The sequence below is a fragment of the Homo sapiens genome, chromosome 20 (genome assembly GCF_000001405.40).
Source record: "Homo sapiens chromosome 20, GRCh38.p14 Primary Assembly".
Lineage (NCBI taxonomy): Eukaryota > Metazoa > Chordata > Mammalia > Primates > Hominidae > Homo > Homo sapiens.
Genome location: NC_000020.11, coordinates 45,594,896 through 45,607,338, shown reverse-complemented (window position 1 = coordinate 45,607,338; position 12,443 = coordinate 45,594,896).

The window sequence follows — 12,443 nt, the reverse complement described above, 5'->3', positions numbered from 1 at the left end:
TCCTCAACACAGACCCAAGACCCTGGCCTCCATATCACCCTGTCCAATGAAATACATTTAATCAAATTGTTAAAAGCCTAGGTTAAGGAAGGAATTCTGAAAGCAGCAAGAGAAAAGCAACTCATCACATATAAGGGAACCCCCATACAATTATCAGTGGATTTCTCAGCAGATAACTTGCAGGCCAGGAGGGAGTAAGACAACATAATCAAAGTAGTGTGAGAAAAAACTTGCCAACTAAGATTACTATACCTAGCAAAATTATCCTTTAAAAATAAAGTACTGATAAAACATTTCCTAGACAAAAACTGGGGGAGTTTGTCACCACTAGCCTGCCTTATAAGAAATCTTTAGAGGGTTCTTGAAATTGAAATGAAAGGTTGGGCACAGTGGCTCACACCTACAGTCCCAGCACTTTGGGAGGCTGAGGTGGGAGGATTACTTGAGGTTAGGAGTTTGAGACCAGCCTGGCCAACATGGTGAAACCTCATCTCTACTAAAAAAAACACAAAAGTTAGCTGGGTATGATGGTGGGTGCCTGTAATCTCAGCTACTCTGGAGGCTGAGGCAAAAGAATCACTTGAACCCAGGAAACAGAGTTTGCAGTGAGCTGAGATCGCACCACTGCAGTCCAGCCTGGGCGACAGAGCAAGACTTTGTCTCAGAAAACAAACAAACAAACAAAAACAAATTAAATGAAAAAGCACTGAATAGCAATGCAAAAGCATAAGGAAGCATAAACCTTATTGAGAAAGGTAAATATATAAATACAGAATAATGTAAAACTGTGAAGGTGATGCATGAATTACTTTGAACCTTAATATGAAAGTAAAAGATAAAAATTTGTTAATAAACACACAATATAAAAAGAAGCAAACCCTGACTACAGGTACTCAAAGTGGGTGGTTATGGGAGAAGTCAAAGTAAAGTTTTCGTTTGCAGTTGAAGTTACCAACTTAAAATAGGTGGTTATAACTACAAGATATTTTACACAAGCTGGGAGCTAACCACAAAGGAAATATCCTACAATAGATATAAAAGATAAAGAGAAATGAGTCAAAGCAAATCACTACAGGAAATCATCAAATAACAATGGAAGACAGAAAGAGAGGGAAAAGAATAAAACAACCACAACACAGGCAGAATAAGTTCTCACCTTTCAGTAATTAACTTGAATGTAAATGCATTAAATTCTCCAACCAAAAACAGAGTGGCTGAACAATTATCTAAAAAAGATCCATCAATATGCTGTCTAAAATAGACTCACTTCAAATTGGCTAGAAGTAAAGGGACGGAAAAATATATTTCATGTAAATGATAATCAAATGAAAGTAAGGGTGGATATACTTATATCAGACAAAATAGACTTTAATAAAAAACTATCCCTAGAGACAAAGGAAGTCATTATATAATGATAAAAGGGTCAATTCAACAGGAATAAACAATTGTTAAGACATGTGCACTCAACATCAGCTTAAATATAAATATATAAATATATAAAGCAGATATTGACAGATTTCAAAGGAGAAATTGATAGCAATCCTGTAATAGGCCACTTCAATGCTCACTTTCAATGATGAATAGGATTTCCAGACAGGTAATCAATAAAGAAAGAGCTAACTGGAGCAACACTGTTTACCAGATGGACCTAACAGACATATACAGAACATTCTACCCAACAACAGCAGAATACATATTCTTCTCAAGAGCAAACAGATCTTTCTCCAAGATTGATTACGTGTTAGATTAGAAAACAAATTTTGACAAATTTAAGAAGATTTAAATTATGTCAAGTGTCTTTTCAGACCACAGTAGAATGAAACTAGAAACCAACAGCAGAAACAAAACTAGAAAACTTTTAAAGATGTGAAAATTAAATAACATTCTCTTGAACAACCATTGCTTCAAGGAGGAATAATAAATACAATTAGAATATACCTTAAGACAAATGAAAAGGAAAACACAGCATACCAAAACTTATGGAATACAGCAAAAGCAGTACCAAGAGGGAAATTCATAGTAATAAACATCTACATTTAAAAAAGTACAAAGAGGCCGGGCGCGGTGGCTCATGCCTGTAATCCCAGCACTTTGGGAGGCCGAGGTGGGTGGATCACGAGGTCAGGAGATCGAGACCATCCTGGCTAACATGGCGAAACCCTGTCTCTACTAAAAATACAAAAAGTTAGCTGGGCGTGGTGGCAGGTGCCTGTAGTCCTAGCTACTCAGGAGGCTGAGGCAGGAGAATGGTGTGAACCTGGGAGGCGGAGCTTGCAGTGAGCTGAGATCACGCCACTGCACCCCAGTCTGGGTGACAGACCAAGACTCTGTCCCAAAAAAAAAAAAAAGTACAAAGAGCTCAAATCAATAACCTAACTTTATACCTCAAAGAACTAGAAAAAGAAGAAAAACTAAGCCCACAGTTAGCAAAAATGATAAAATCAGAACAGACATAAACAAAATAGAGAATAGAAAAATAGTAAACATGAAGTCAATAAAACTAAGAATTGGATTTTTGAAAAGATAAACAAAATGGACAAATCCTTGGCCAGCCTAAAAAAGAAAAAAGTAGAGAACATTCAAATAAGTGAGAAATGAAAGAGGAGACATTACAACTGGTGCCACAGAAATTTTTATTTAAATTGGCTAACCTAGAAGAAATGAATAAATTCTTAGAAACATACAATCTCCCAACAAAGAAAAAAATTCTCAACAAAGAAAAACCCAGAACCAGATGGTTTTACTGAATAATCCTACCAAACATTTAAAGAATAGGGAATATGAATCCTTCTCAACTTCTTCCAAAAAAACAGAATCAGAGAAAACTTCCAAATTCATTATATGAGGCCAGCATTACCCTGATACCAATGCCAGACAAAGATACTACAAGAAAAGAAGACTACAACCCATATCCCTGGTGAGTATTGATGCAAAAGTCCTTACCAAAATACTAGTAAACCGATTTTAACAGCACATTAAAAGGATTATATGCCACAACCAAGTGGGATTTATCACTGGGTTGCAAAGATAGTTCAATACACACAAGTCAATAAATGTAATACACCATATTAATAGAATGAAGAAAAAAATCATGACTATCATAATAGACATAGGAAAAGTATTTGACAAAATTAAATAACCTTTCCATGATAAAAACATTCAACAATATATTAATAAGAATAGAAAGAATTTCCTCAACATCATAAATTTCATACATGAAAAGCCATAACTAATATCATATGCCATAGTGAAAAACTGAAAGTTTTTTTTTCTAAGATCAGCAATAAGGCAAGGATGTCCAAACTCAGCACTTTTATTCTACATAGTACTGGAAGTCTTATCCAGAGCAATTAGACAAGGAAAATAAATAGAATGCATCTGAATTGGAAAAGAAGAAGTAGTAAAATTATCTCTGCAGATGACATGGTCTTATATGTAGAAAACTGTATATAAAAAGACTCCATCAAAAATTATTAGACTAGCAAATTCAGTAAAGTTGCAGAATAGAACAAAATAAACACTCAAAAGTCAGTTGCATTTATATAGTAACAATGGACAATCCAAATAGATTTTTTTTAAAATCGCATTTACAATAGTTAGGAATAAACTTAACCAATGACTTGTACACTGAAAACTACAAAACATTGCTGAACAAAATTAAGAGAGAAAAACAATTGGAAAGATATCTTGTGTTCAAGGATTGGTAGACTTAATATTGTTAAAAATATTTACACTACCCGAAATAATGTACGAACTTAATGCAAACCCTATCAAAATCCAAATGGCATTTATTGTAGAAATAGGAAAAAAATTCTAAAGTTCATGTGAAATCTTAAAAGACTCCAAATAGCCAAAACAATCTTGAGAAAGAAGAATAAAGCTAGAGGCATCACACTTCTTGATTTCAAAACATATTTCCAAAGTCACAGTAATCAAAACAGTATAACACTGACATAAAAACAGATACGTAGACTGATAGAACAGAATATAGAGTCCAGAAATAAGCCCTCATATACAAGGTCTAATGATCTTTAATAAGAGTTTCAAAACTGTACATTGGGGAAAGGGTAGTTTCTTCAATAAATGTTGTTAGTATGGACCCTTATACCATACACAAAAATTAACTCAAAAAGAAGTTAATTTTTTATAAACATCTATAAAACTCCCAGAAGAAAGCAATTAAAAAATCATGACATTGAAAAGGGAAATGGCTTTTTAGATATGATACCAAAGCACAGGCAACAAAAGCAGAAATAGAGAAATAGGGTGACGTCAAACTAAAAAACTTATGAAATTGGAGAAAATATTTGCAAGAGAGATATTAGATAAGAGGTTAATATCTAGAATATATTTTAAAACTCCTTTAACTCAATAACAGCCCCCTGAATAATAAATAATCAAATTTTAAAAATGAGCAAAGGATTAAACAGACATTTCTCCAAAGAAGATACACAAATGGCCATTTATTTGGAAAAATGCTTAAAATTATTAATCATCAGGAAAATGCTAATCACAACCACCATGAGATATCATCTCATACATTAGGACTACCACTATTTCACACACACACACACACACACACACACACACACACACACACACACCTCCCATAAAACAAAAACAAAACAGAAGATAACAAGTGTTGGCAAGGACATGGGGAAATGGGAACCTTGTGCACTGTTGGTGGGAATGAAAATGGTGTAGTGGCTCTGGAAAACAGCATAGAGGTTCCAAACAAAATTAAACATAGAACTACCATGTGATTCAGCAGTCCTACTTCTTGATATATATCGATGAGAATTGAAAACAGGATCTTGAAGAGATATTTGCATGCCCATGTTCATTTAAGCATTATGCAGAAACGCCAAGATGTGGAAGCAAACTAAATGTCCATTGATGGATGCATGGATTTTAAAAAATATGGTAAACACACACCCACATACATACACACTAGACTATTATTCAGCTTTCACCAAGATAGAAATAACAGCTCTATCAGGTGACACAACAAGAATGAACCTGGAGGACATTGTGCTAAGTAAAACAAACCAGATGCAGAAAGACAAATGCCGCATGATCTCACTTATTTGTGGGATCTAATATAGTCAAACCCGTTGAAACAGATAGTAGAGTGGTGATAACCAGGAGCTGGAGGGAGGAAGAAGTGGGGAGAAGTTGTCAAAGGGGTACGAAGTTTTAGTTGTGCATAATCAATATTTTTTTGAGATCTGATGAATAGCAATGTGACTATAATTAACAATACTTTATTGTATAGTTGAACTTTGGTAAGATAATGTATCTTAAGCATTCTCACCAAAAAAAAAGGAAAAAAAGCAAGAAAGGAATAAAGGGGAGAAAGAAAATGGTAACTATCTGAGATGATAGACAAATTATTGTGGTGATTATTCCACAGTGTATATGTATATTAAATCATCAAATTGTGTACCTTAAATATATATATTTAAAATATATACATTTAAATATATACATTTTAAAAAGTCAAATGTGCATTTAAAAATACATTTAAAAACTATATGTGAGGCAGAAACTGATGGAACTGCAAGGAGAAATAGATGAATCCATTACTGTAGTTGGAGACTTCAACATGCCTCAGTTATGAATGGGATCCAGCAGGCAGAAAATTAGTAAGGACACAGTTGAACTCAACAGCACCATCAATCAGTCGGATATACAGGCATACCTCGTTTATTGCACCTTGTTTTATTATGCTTCGCAGATATTGCATTTTTTACAAATTGAAGGTTTGTGGCAACCTGCATTGAACAAGTCTACCCGTGCCATTTTGCCAACAGCATGTCCTCACTTCATGTCTCTGTTTCACATTTTGGTAATTCTCACAACAGTTCAAACATATCCATGGTAGTTTTAATAATCTCCCTACAGGGTGAATTCATTTGCAGGCATTGCAAATAAACCCAGGACACAGGTACAATCAGTTGTATACATCATGTCTCATGTCAGAGATGTTTATAATTGTCATTGTTGTGGTCATTTGAGCACTAGCATCCTGCCCTTCTCAGAGCCCAGAAAGTGTGAGACATATTAAAAGTCACACTTGGGACTGCCTTGGACTCTGAGAGTGGAAATACACTTGTCTTTTCTTCAATTATAGCAAATGAGGTGCATCTTATAACCACTTATGCTAATGAGAAACAAACATGGTAAACCCATTCTTTTGTTACCAGAGGAGGAGACCCTAGAGAGAGGTTCTGAACCTGGCTAGGAGCAGTGTGGGGATGAAACATGAGTATGGGCCTGATACTGATGGTAAAAATATGATTAGGAAACCAGATGGGAGATTCCATAATTCCAACTGCTTGCTTAACCTTTGTGAACAGGTTAGCATAGGGTGGGAGCAAGACGGTGGAAGGAGAAGCTTGTCTGTGAATCTGAAAACATATTGCCTACTCCTCTTTGCAGAAGAACACAGAGTGTTTCCCAAGGAAAGTGTGAAACAGCGTGAACCGAGCTCCACTCCTAGGAATATACCAGGGGAAGAGCTGGTATGATGGGCTGGATTTGGCTAAATATAGAAACTTTAGTGTAGCTCAGTATAGTATACAGGTACACAAGTTGAGGGTGTTTAGAAAGGCCAGATTCAGGGGTAGAGAGAGAGGGAGAGGGGGGGATAGAGAGAGAGAGAGAGAGAGAGAGAGAGAGACTGCTTTTACCAGAAGGAAAGCAAAGAGAGAGGCTTGGTGAAAGAAAAGAGAGAGAGGTATAGCAGTCAAAGACAGTGGAATATTTAGGAAAGATAAAGAGATGATTTTTAAGGGAATGTTACCATATGATAGTGATGTAACCTCCTCCTCCTATTTTAATTTTACCATCAGTAAAATTCCCAATATTTATAGAATTGGATTTATGTTTCTTTGTGAGTACAGCGATGTTTAACGGAGGGCCCATAAAAGATATTGATTGTTTGGCACCACTAGGGAATGCCTAGTTGTGTGTAGGTCACACACACATACACAGATACACAGACACACACACAGACACACACAGAGACACACACACCCCATGGAGATGCACTACATGGAGCATATACACCAAAATGATAACATGATAATTTCAGGGTCATTAAATTGCTGGTAATTTTCTATTTGCTTCTTATTGTTTTTCAGTTTTTGAAAAATTTTCTACAATAAATATGGATTGCTTTTGTAATCATAAAAAGAAAATAATGAGGAGTATATGGAGGAATGGGTAGAAAGCTCAGTCTAGTAGACACAAAAGCCCACAATTCTAAGCTTTCTCCACATGTACCTGCAAACCGTTGCCCCTTGGCCAATGCTTGGGTTCAGGTATATGCACACCAATGACAAGGTCCATTTTTTGGAAGATATATCTTAGGAAAAGCCTGCACAGGTCTGGAGATGGGCTTAGAGCCATTTGGAAAGGGTGTTCTTGGGTACTTGCTACCCATGGTAATCTAGAAGCGGCAGTGCAGTCTCCAGGTGAGCATCCTCTTGGTTCCATAAGCTTTTTGCTCTATGGGGAAATGACAGAGCTAGAGGAGGGCCCCTCAAAGAGAGGGCCTTCTTGTTTTGGTCTATGTGTGGCACAGCCTTCTCCATTTTTCCTCCCTTCTTCCTCACTATTCCAAGAGGCACCCATCACTAAGATGCACATATACTTAATATCATAAACCTCTAACTTCTATGACCCCTGGTTTGCTGTGATTCATACTAGATGACCCAAGCCCTGAGACCACATGGGTGGTAAGGATAGGACCTGAAGAGGGGAGAGAAGGTGGTACATTCAATCTGCCTGGTGCTGAACTCACTGCTTTGATGAGTATTGCACCCTTTTCAAGCTTCATCCAAAGACTTCCTTACAGACCACCTTCCAGACCTGTAAGAATTAACTGAGAAATTTCCAGGAACTTTTACTTACATTTCCCCCGCAAAACGAAAGAAAACGTCAGGTCATCTGAAGTTGGGAAGGCTTTGGCACGGTGGACACTGCCACTCAACTGATGTGTCAAGAGTTTGAGAACCACAAGCGGGCAAATCACTTGAGATCAGGAGTTCAAGACCAGCCTGGCCAACATGGTGAAATACCATCTCTACTAAAAATACAAAAATTAGCCAGGCATGGTGGTGCACGCCTGTAATCCCAGCTACTTGGGAGGCTGAGACAGGAGAATTGCTTGAGCCCAGGAGGTAGAGGTTACAGTGAGTCAAGATCGAGCCATTGCACTCCAGCCTGGGCGACAGAGCAAGACTCTGTATAAAAAAAAAAGAATTCGAGAACCAGTTGTATGTAGCTTTGATCACTTCCAAGGGAGAAAAAAAAATTACTTATTTCTTAATGCATTCACTTTGTGCTGAAGAAAAGGGAGAAGATGGTGAAGTCTGGATACTTATGAGCTATGACACTAGTAATAGTGGAAAGGTCAAGAGGTTGGAAAGAAGGTTAAAGAAGGACTCTAGAAGACGACTGGAGTGAGTGATTGACAGTAGAGAGAGAATAAGAGTCAGGGAGAGATAAGATATGGGTGAGAGTCTAGAGGAACTCTCAGGCTCTTTTGGGATCTCGAGTTCTATGAGTATGGATTTCACTGGATGACTTCATTAGAGTTTGGGATGATAAAAGTAGATTTCATTTTGGCCAAGGGGAAATAGGGAAGCTCTAGAGGCCAGCACATTGTGGATCCTGTGGGAGACTGCAGGAGCAGATCAGGCAAAGGGAGTGAGTTTAAGCAAACACAGGACTTGGAGAGTACAAAGAGGACGCTTTCTTAAGAAGCAGTTAAATCCATGGATTCTGGAGTCTAGAAGGGTTGTTAAGTTTGAAAAGGGTAGATTCTCAAGGTTCCTCAGCCTGTTGTACATACCTACCTGCCCTGACACAATCCCAACAGGTGGATTATTATTCAGGCACTTCCAAATGGATTCATATATGGATTTCTACATTGACCAGAGAGAGATGTGCCTGGACTGACAAGTAAATGGCCAAGGTTACCTGGCCTTGTGATCCATCAGTGGGAGATGGGAAAGGAAGAGAGGGAGACAGGGTTACCTCCTTGCTTCACCTGGACCCACTTCCATGGGAGAGAATATCCCAGCCTTGATATTCCAATCAAGCAGACCTAGGATTTCTGCTTCTACTACTCCATCTCCAGCACCCTTAGCTTCCCTCATTAAAGCCACGTACCTGACTCTTCTTTCTGTCCAAGAGCTTTGACTTCTTCACTGACTTCCCATCCCTGCCACTCATCACATAGCCACTTTTTCTCGACCAGGTCCCCAAAGACCTCTCCCTTCTACATGTACCCAATATCTGTAGGAAGCAACCACCCGTATATGGGCATATCCCCATAACTGATCCACAGGTGCCCTCAACTTGCTTCTCCATTTATCCTTACCCTCTTTTTTCCTTTCTTAAGACCATTCCTCTGTTTCCTCTAGTTGTCCTTAATTTCCTTCATGGAAGGATAGCCTTCAAAGTAGCAGTACTCAAAGGTACTATTACCTATTCCTCGGTTTAAGAAGTATTAGATTTGTCCTTTTTGCCTAGTTGATTTCATTTCCACTAGTGGTCATTTACTCTTTCAGGATCCACATAACCTGTAATAGGCTCATTTTAAAATTTAATAACTTCCATTAAGTAATCAACAGGAGGTTATAAAATTGCTACTGTGTGCCTGGGTTGATACCTCTCTATAGGAAAAGGGACTAGGTATTCATGCACAGATGGATAAGGTAGCTACATGCCTTTCAGCATTATAAGTTTTATAATATAGACAAGTAGAGTCCAGAGTAGAGCATGATAACAAAGCATAAGGGGACTCACAGTCAGTACCTATGAGTTAAGGGGAGAGGGTAGAGAGGAAGTTGATGGTGAGAGGTTCAGAGTAGGGTCCCTGGGGCATGCTAAATGTAAACATGGCCTTGAGAAACAGGAAAGGATTGGGGCTGGACACGGTGGCTCACATCTGTAATCCCAGCACTGTAGGAGGCTGAGGCGGGCAGACCACCTGAGGCCAGGAGTTCGAGACCAGCCTGACCAATATGGTGAAACCTCATCTTTACTAAAATACAAAAAGTAGCCAGGCGTGGTAGTGCATGCTTGTAATCCCAGCTACTTGGGAGGCTGAGGCAAGACAATCACTTGAACCTGGGAGGCGGAAGTTGCAGTGAGCGGAGATTGCGACACTGCACTCCAGCCTGGGTGGCAGCACGAGACTCCGTCTCAAAAAAAAAAAAAAAAAAAAAAAAAGAAGGAATTGGGACACTTTTGAGTGTATATATATTTTTATCCTGGAGAAAATAGACCCAGCCCAGGCTCTCTCTGGACCCTGACAGAGAGGGAAGAAGAGAAGGAATGAAATCCTGTTTTCCTACTTTGACATCATGTGCTCTGCCTGGTCCCCAGTTCTGACATCACACTGGACTGTGAACTTGGTGTTCAATTTGGAATTTCTGTACTTTCTTTTTTCCTTTTGCTCCCTCTTATAATGGATATAAAAGGTCTGGATTCTTTTCTGGAGTCTAGAATTTCCCCATAGGTTCTTGCTCTGTCTCAAGTCAGAGGATCTCTTCTATTTTCACATAGTGCCCTGAAGAGTCTTTTTAAGTCTAGGAGCCCTCCATCTGCAGTACTGTGGATTTTATCAGGAGCATTCCCCAGGGGGGGAAATATCTGTTTTGACTTCTGTGGGAACACAGGAGTTTTTTTGTAATGGATAGATGAAGGTGGGGTGGGGTGTATCCCATGGGTATAGCAGGGGTAAGCAATAGATTTATTAGTTACAACTAACAACTATTGTTCCAAGCAACAAATATTATTAATAGTTGTTCAAAGAAACACTAATCTAGGCTGGTGTGTTTCAACCCAAATAAGCAGCAGCATGGCACCTGTCTCCTGGAACTATTTTGTTCCTTGTCAGTCTGCTCCAGACACTCCTCCTTTGTGCTAAGTGCAGAGGCCAAGAATCCAGAGCATCACTCCATGCCCTATTCCTACCCTCACTCGGATCAACCTCTGCCTTATTGCTTTTGCTACCTGGGACACTGCATCATCGGAACATCACTAATGTCCCATCTGCATGGTTTGTGCCCAAACCAAGAGGAGAACAGATCAGCAGTATCTCAGATATGAGACATCCAGTGATGCTGTTGCATCAACAGAATAGTTAGGGAGCTGATCTCTGTGCCTAGGCCCTGCTGCTGGGTTTCATGCCAAGCAAAGGCAATGTTGCTTGTGTCAACAGGGACAAAATGAGAAGGGCTTTCAGAAGTCCCCCCTAACTAAGGACAATTTTCCATTATCTGAATGCCCCACAATTAAAGCTTTATTCATTAGGGTTAATTTATTTATTTTTGAGACGGAGTCTCACTCTGTCGTCCAGGCTGGAGTGCAGTGGCACGATCTCAGCTCACTGCAACCTCTACCTCCCAGGTTCAGGCAATTCTCATGCCTCAGCCTCCCAAGTAGCTGGGATTACACGTGCATGCCACCATGTCTGGCTAATTTTTGTATATTTAGTAGAGATGGGGTTTCGCCATGTTAGCCAGGTTGGTCTTCAACTCCTCACCTCAAGTGATCTGCCTGCCTTGGCCTCCCAAAGTGCTGGTTGGGGCCTCCCAGTGGGAATCTCAGTATCCCCAGCCAGGGGTTTATGGATGGGGCACTGATAACCCTGAGAGGACCTCCTAGGAGGAGGGACAGCTGTGGTATTGTGGATCAATGATCTGTCTTTTCTGCCTACTGGCTCTGGAGAGTCAGGGCAGCCCAGATGAGGGTGATTCCCCCAGTGTGGCACACCCTTCAAGGGGCAGAAACTCTGCTTATTTAAGCAGGTCTCTGACCCTGCTCCTGCTGACTAAGTGAGACCTCTCAACAGGAGTCTCCACACACCTCATGCAGGAGTGTTTCAGCTGGCGTCAGGCCAGTGCCCCTCTAAGACAGAGCTCTCAGAGGAAGGAGCAGCTTGGCATCTTTGCTGGTCTGCAGCCTCCACTGGTGATAACTCCAGGGATGGGAGGGACCCAGGCAAATAGGAACTGGAGTGGACCACAAGCAAACTGCAGCAGCCCTGCAGAAGAGGAGCCTGACTGCTAAAATAAAAGCAAACAGAATGCAACAGCATCAATGAAAAAGGCACCATAAAAAACTCCATTCAAATGTCAGCAGCCTCAAAGATCAAAGGTAGATAAACCCATGAAGATGAGAAAAAATGCTGAAAACTCAAAAAGCCAGAGTGCCTCTTCTCCTTCAGAGAGTTGCAACACCTCTCTAGCAAGGGCACAGAAATGGGCTGAGACTGAGATGGATGAATTGACAGAAGTAGGCTTAGGAAGATGGGTAATAAAGAACTTCACCAAGCTAAAGGATTATGTTCTAACTCACAGCAAAGAAGCTAAGAACTATGATAAAACATCACAGGTGCTGTTAATCAGAATCACCACTTTAGA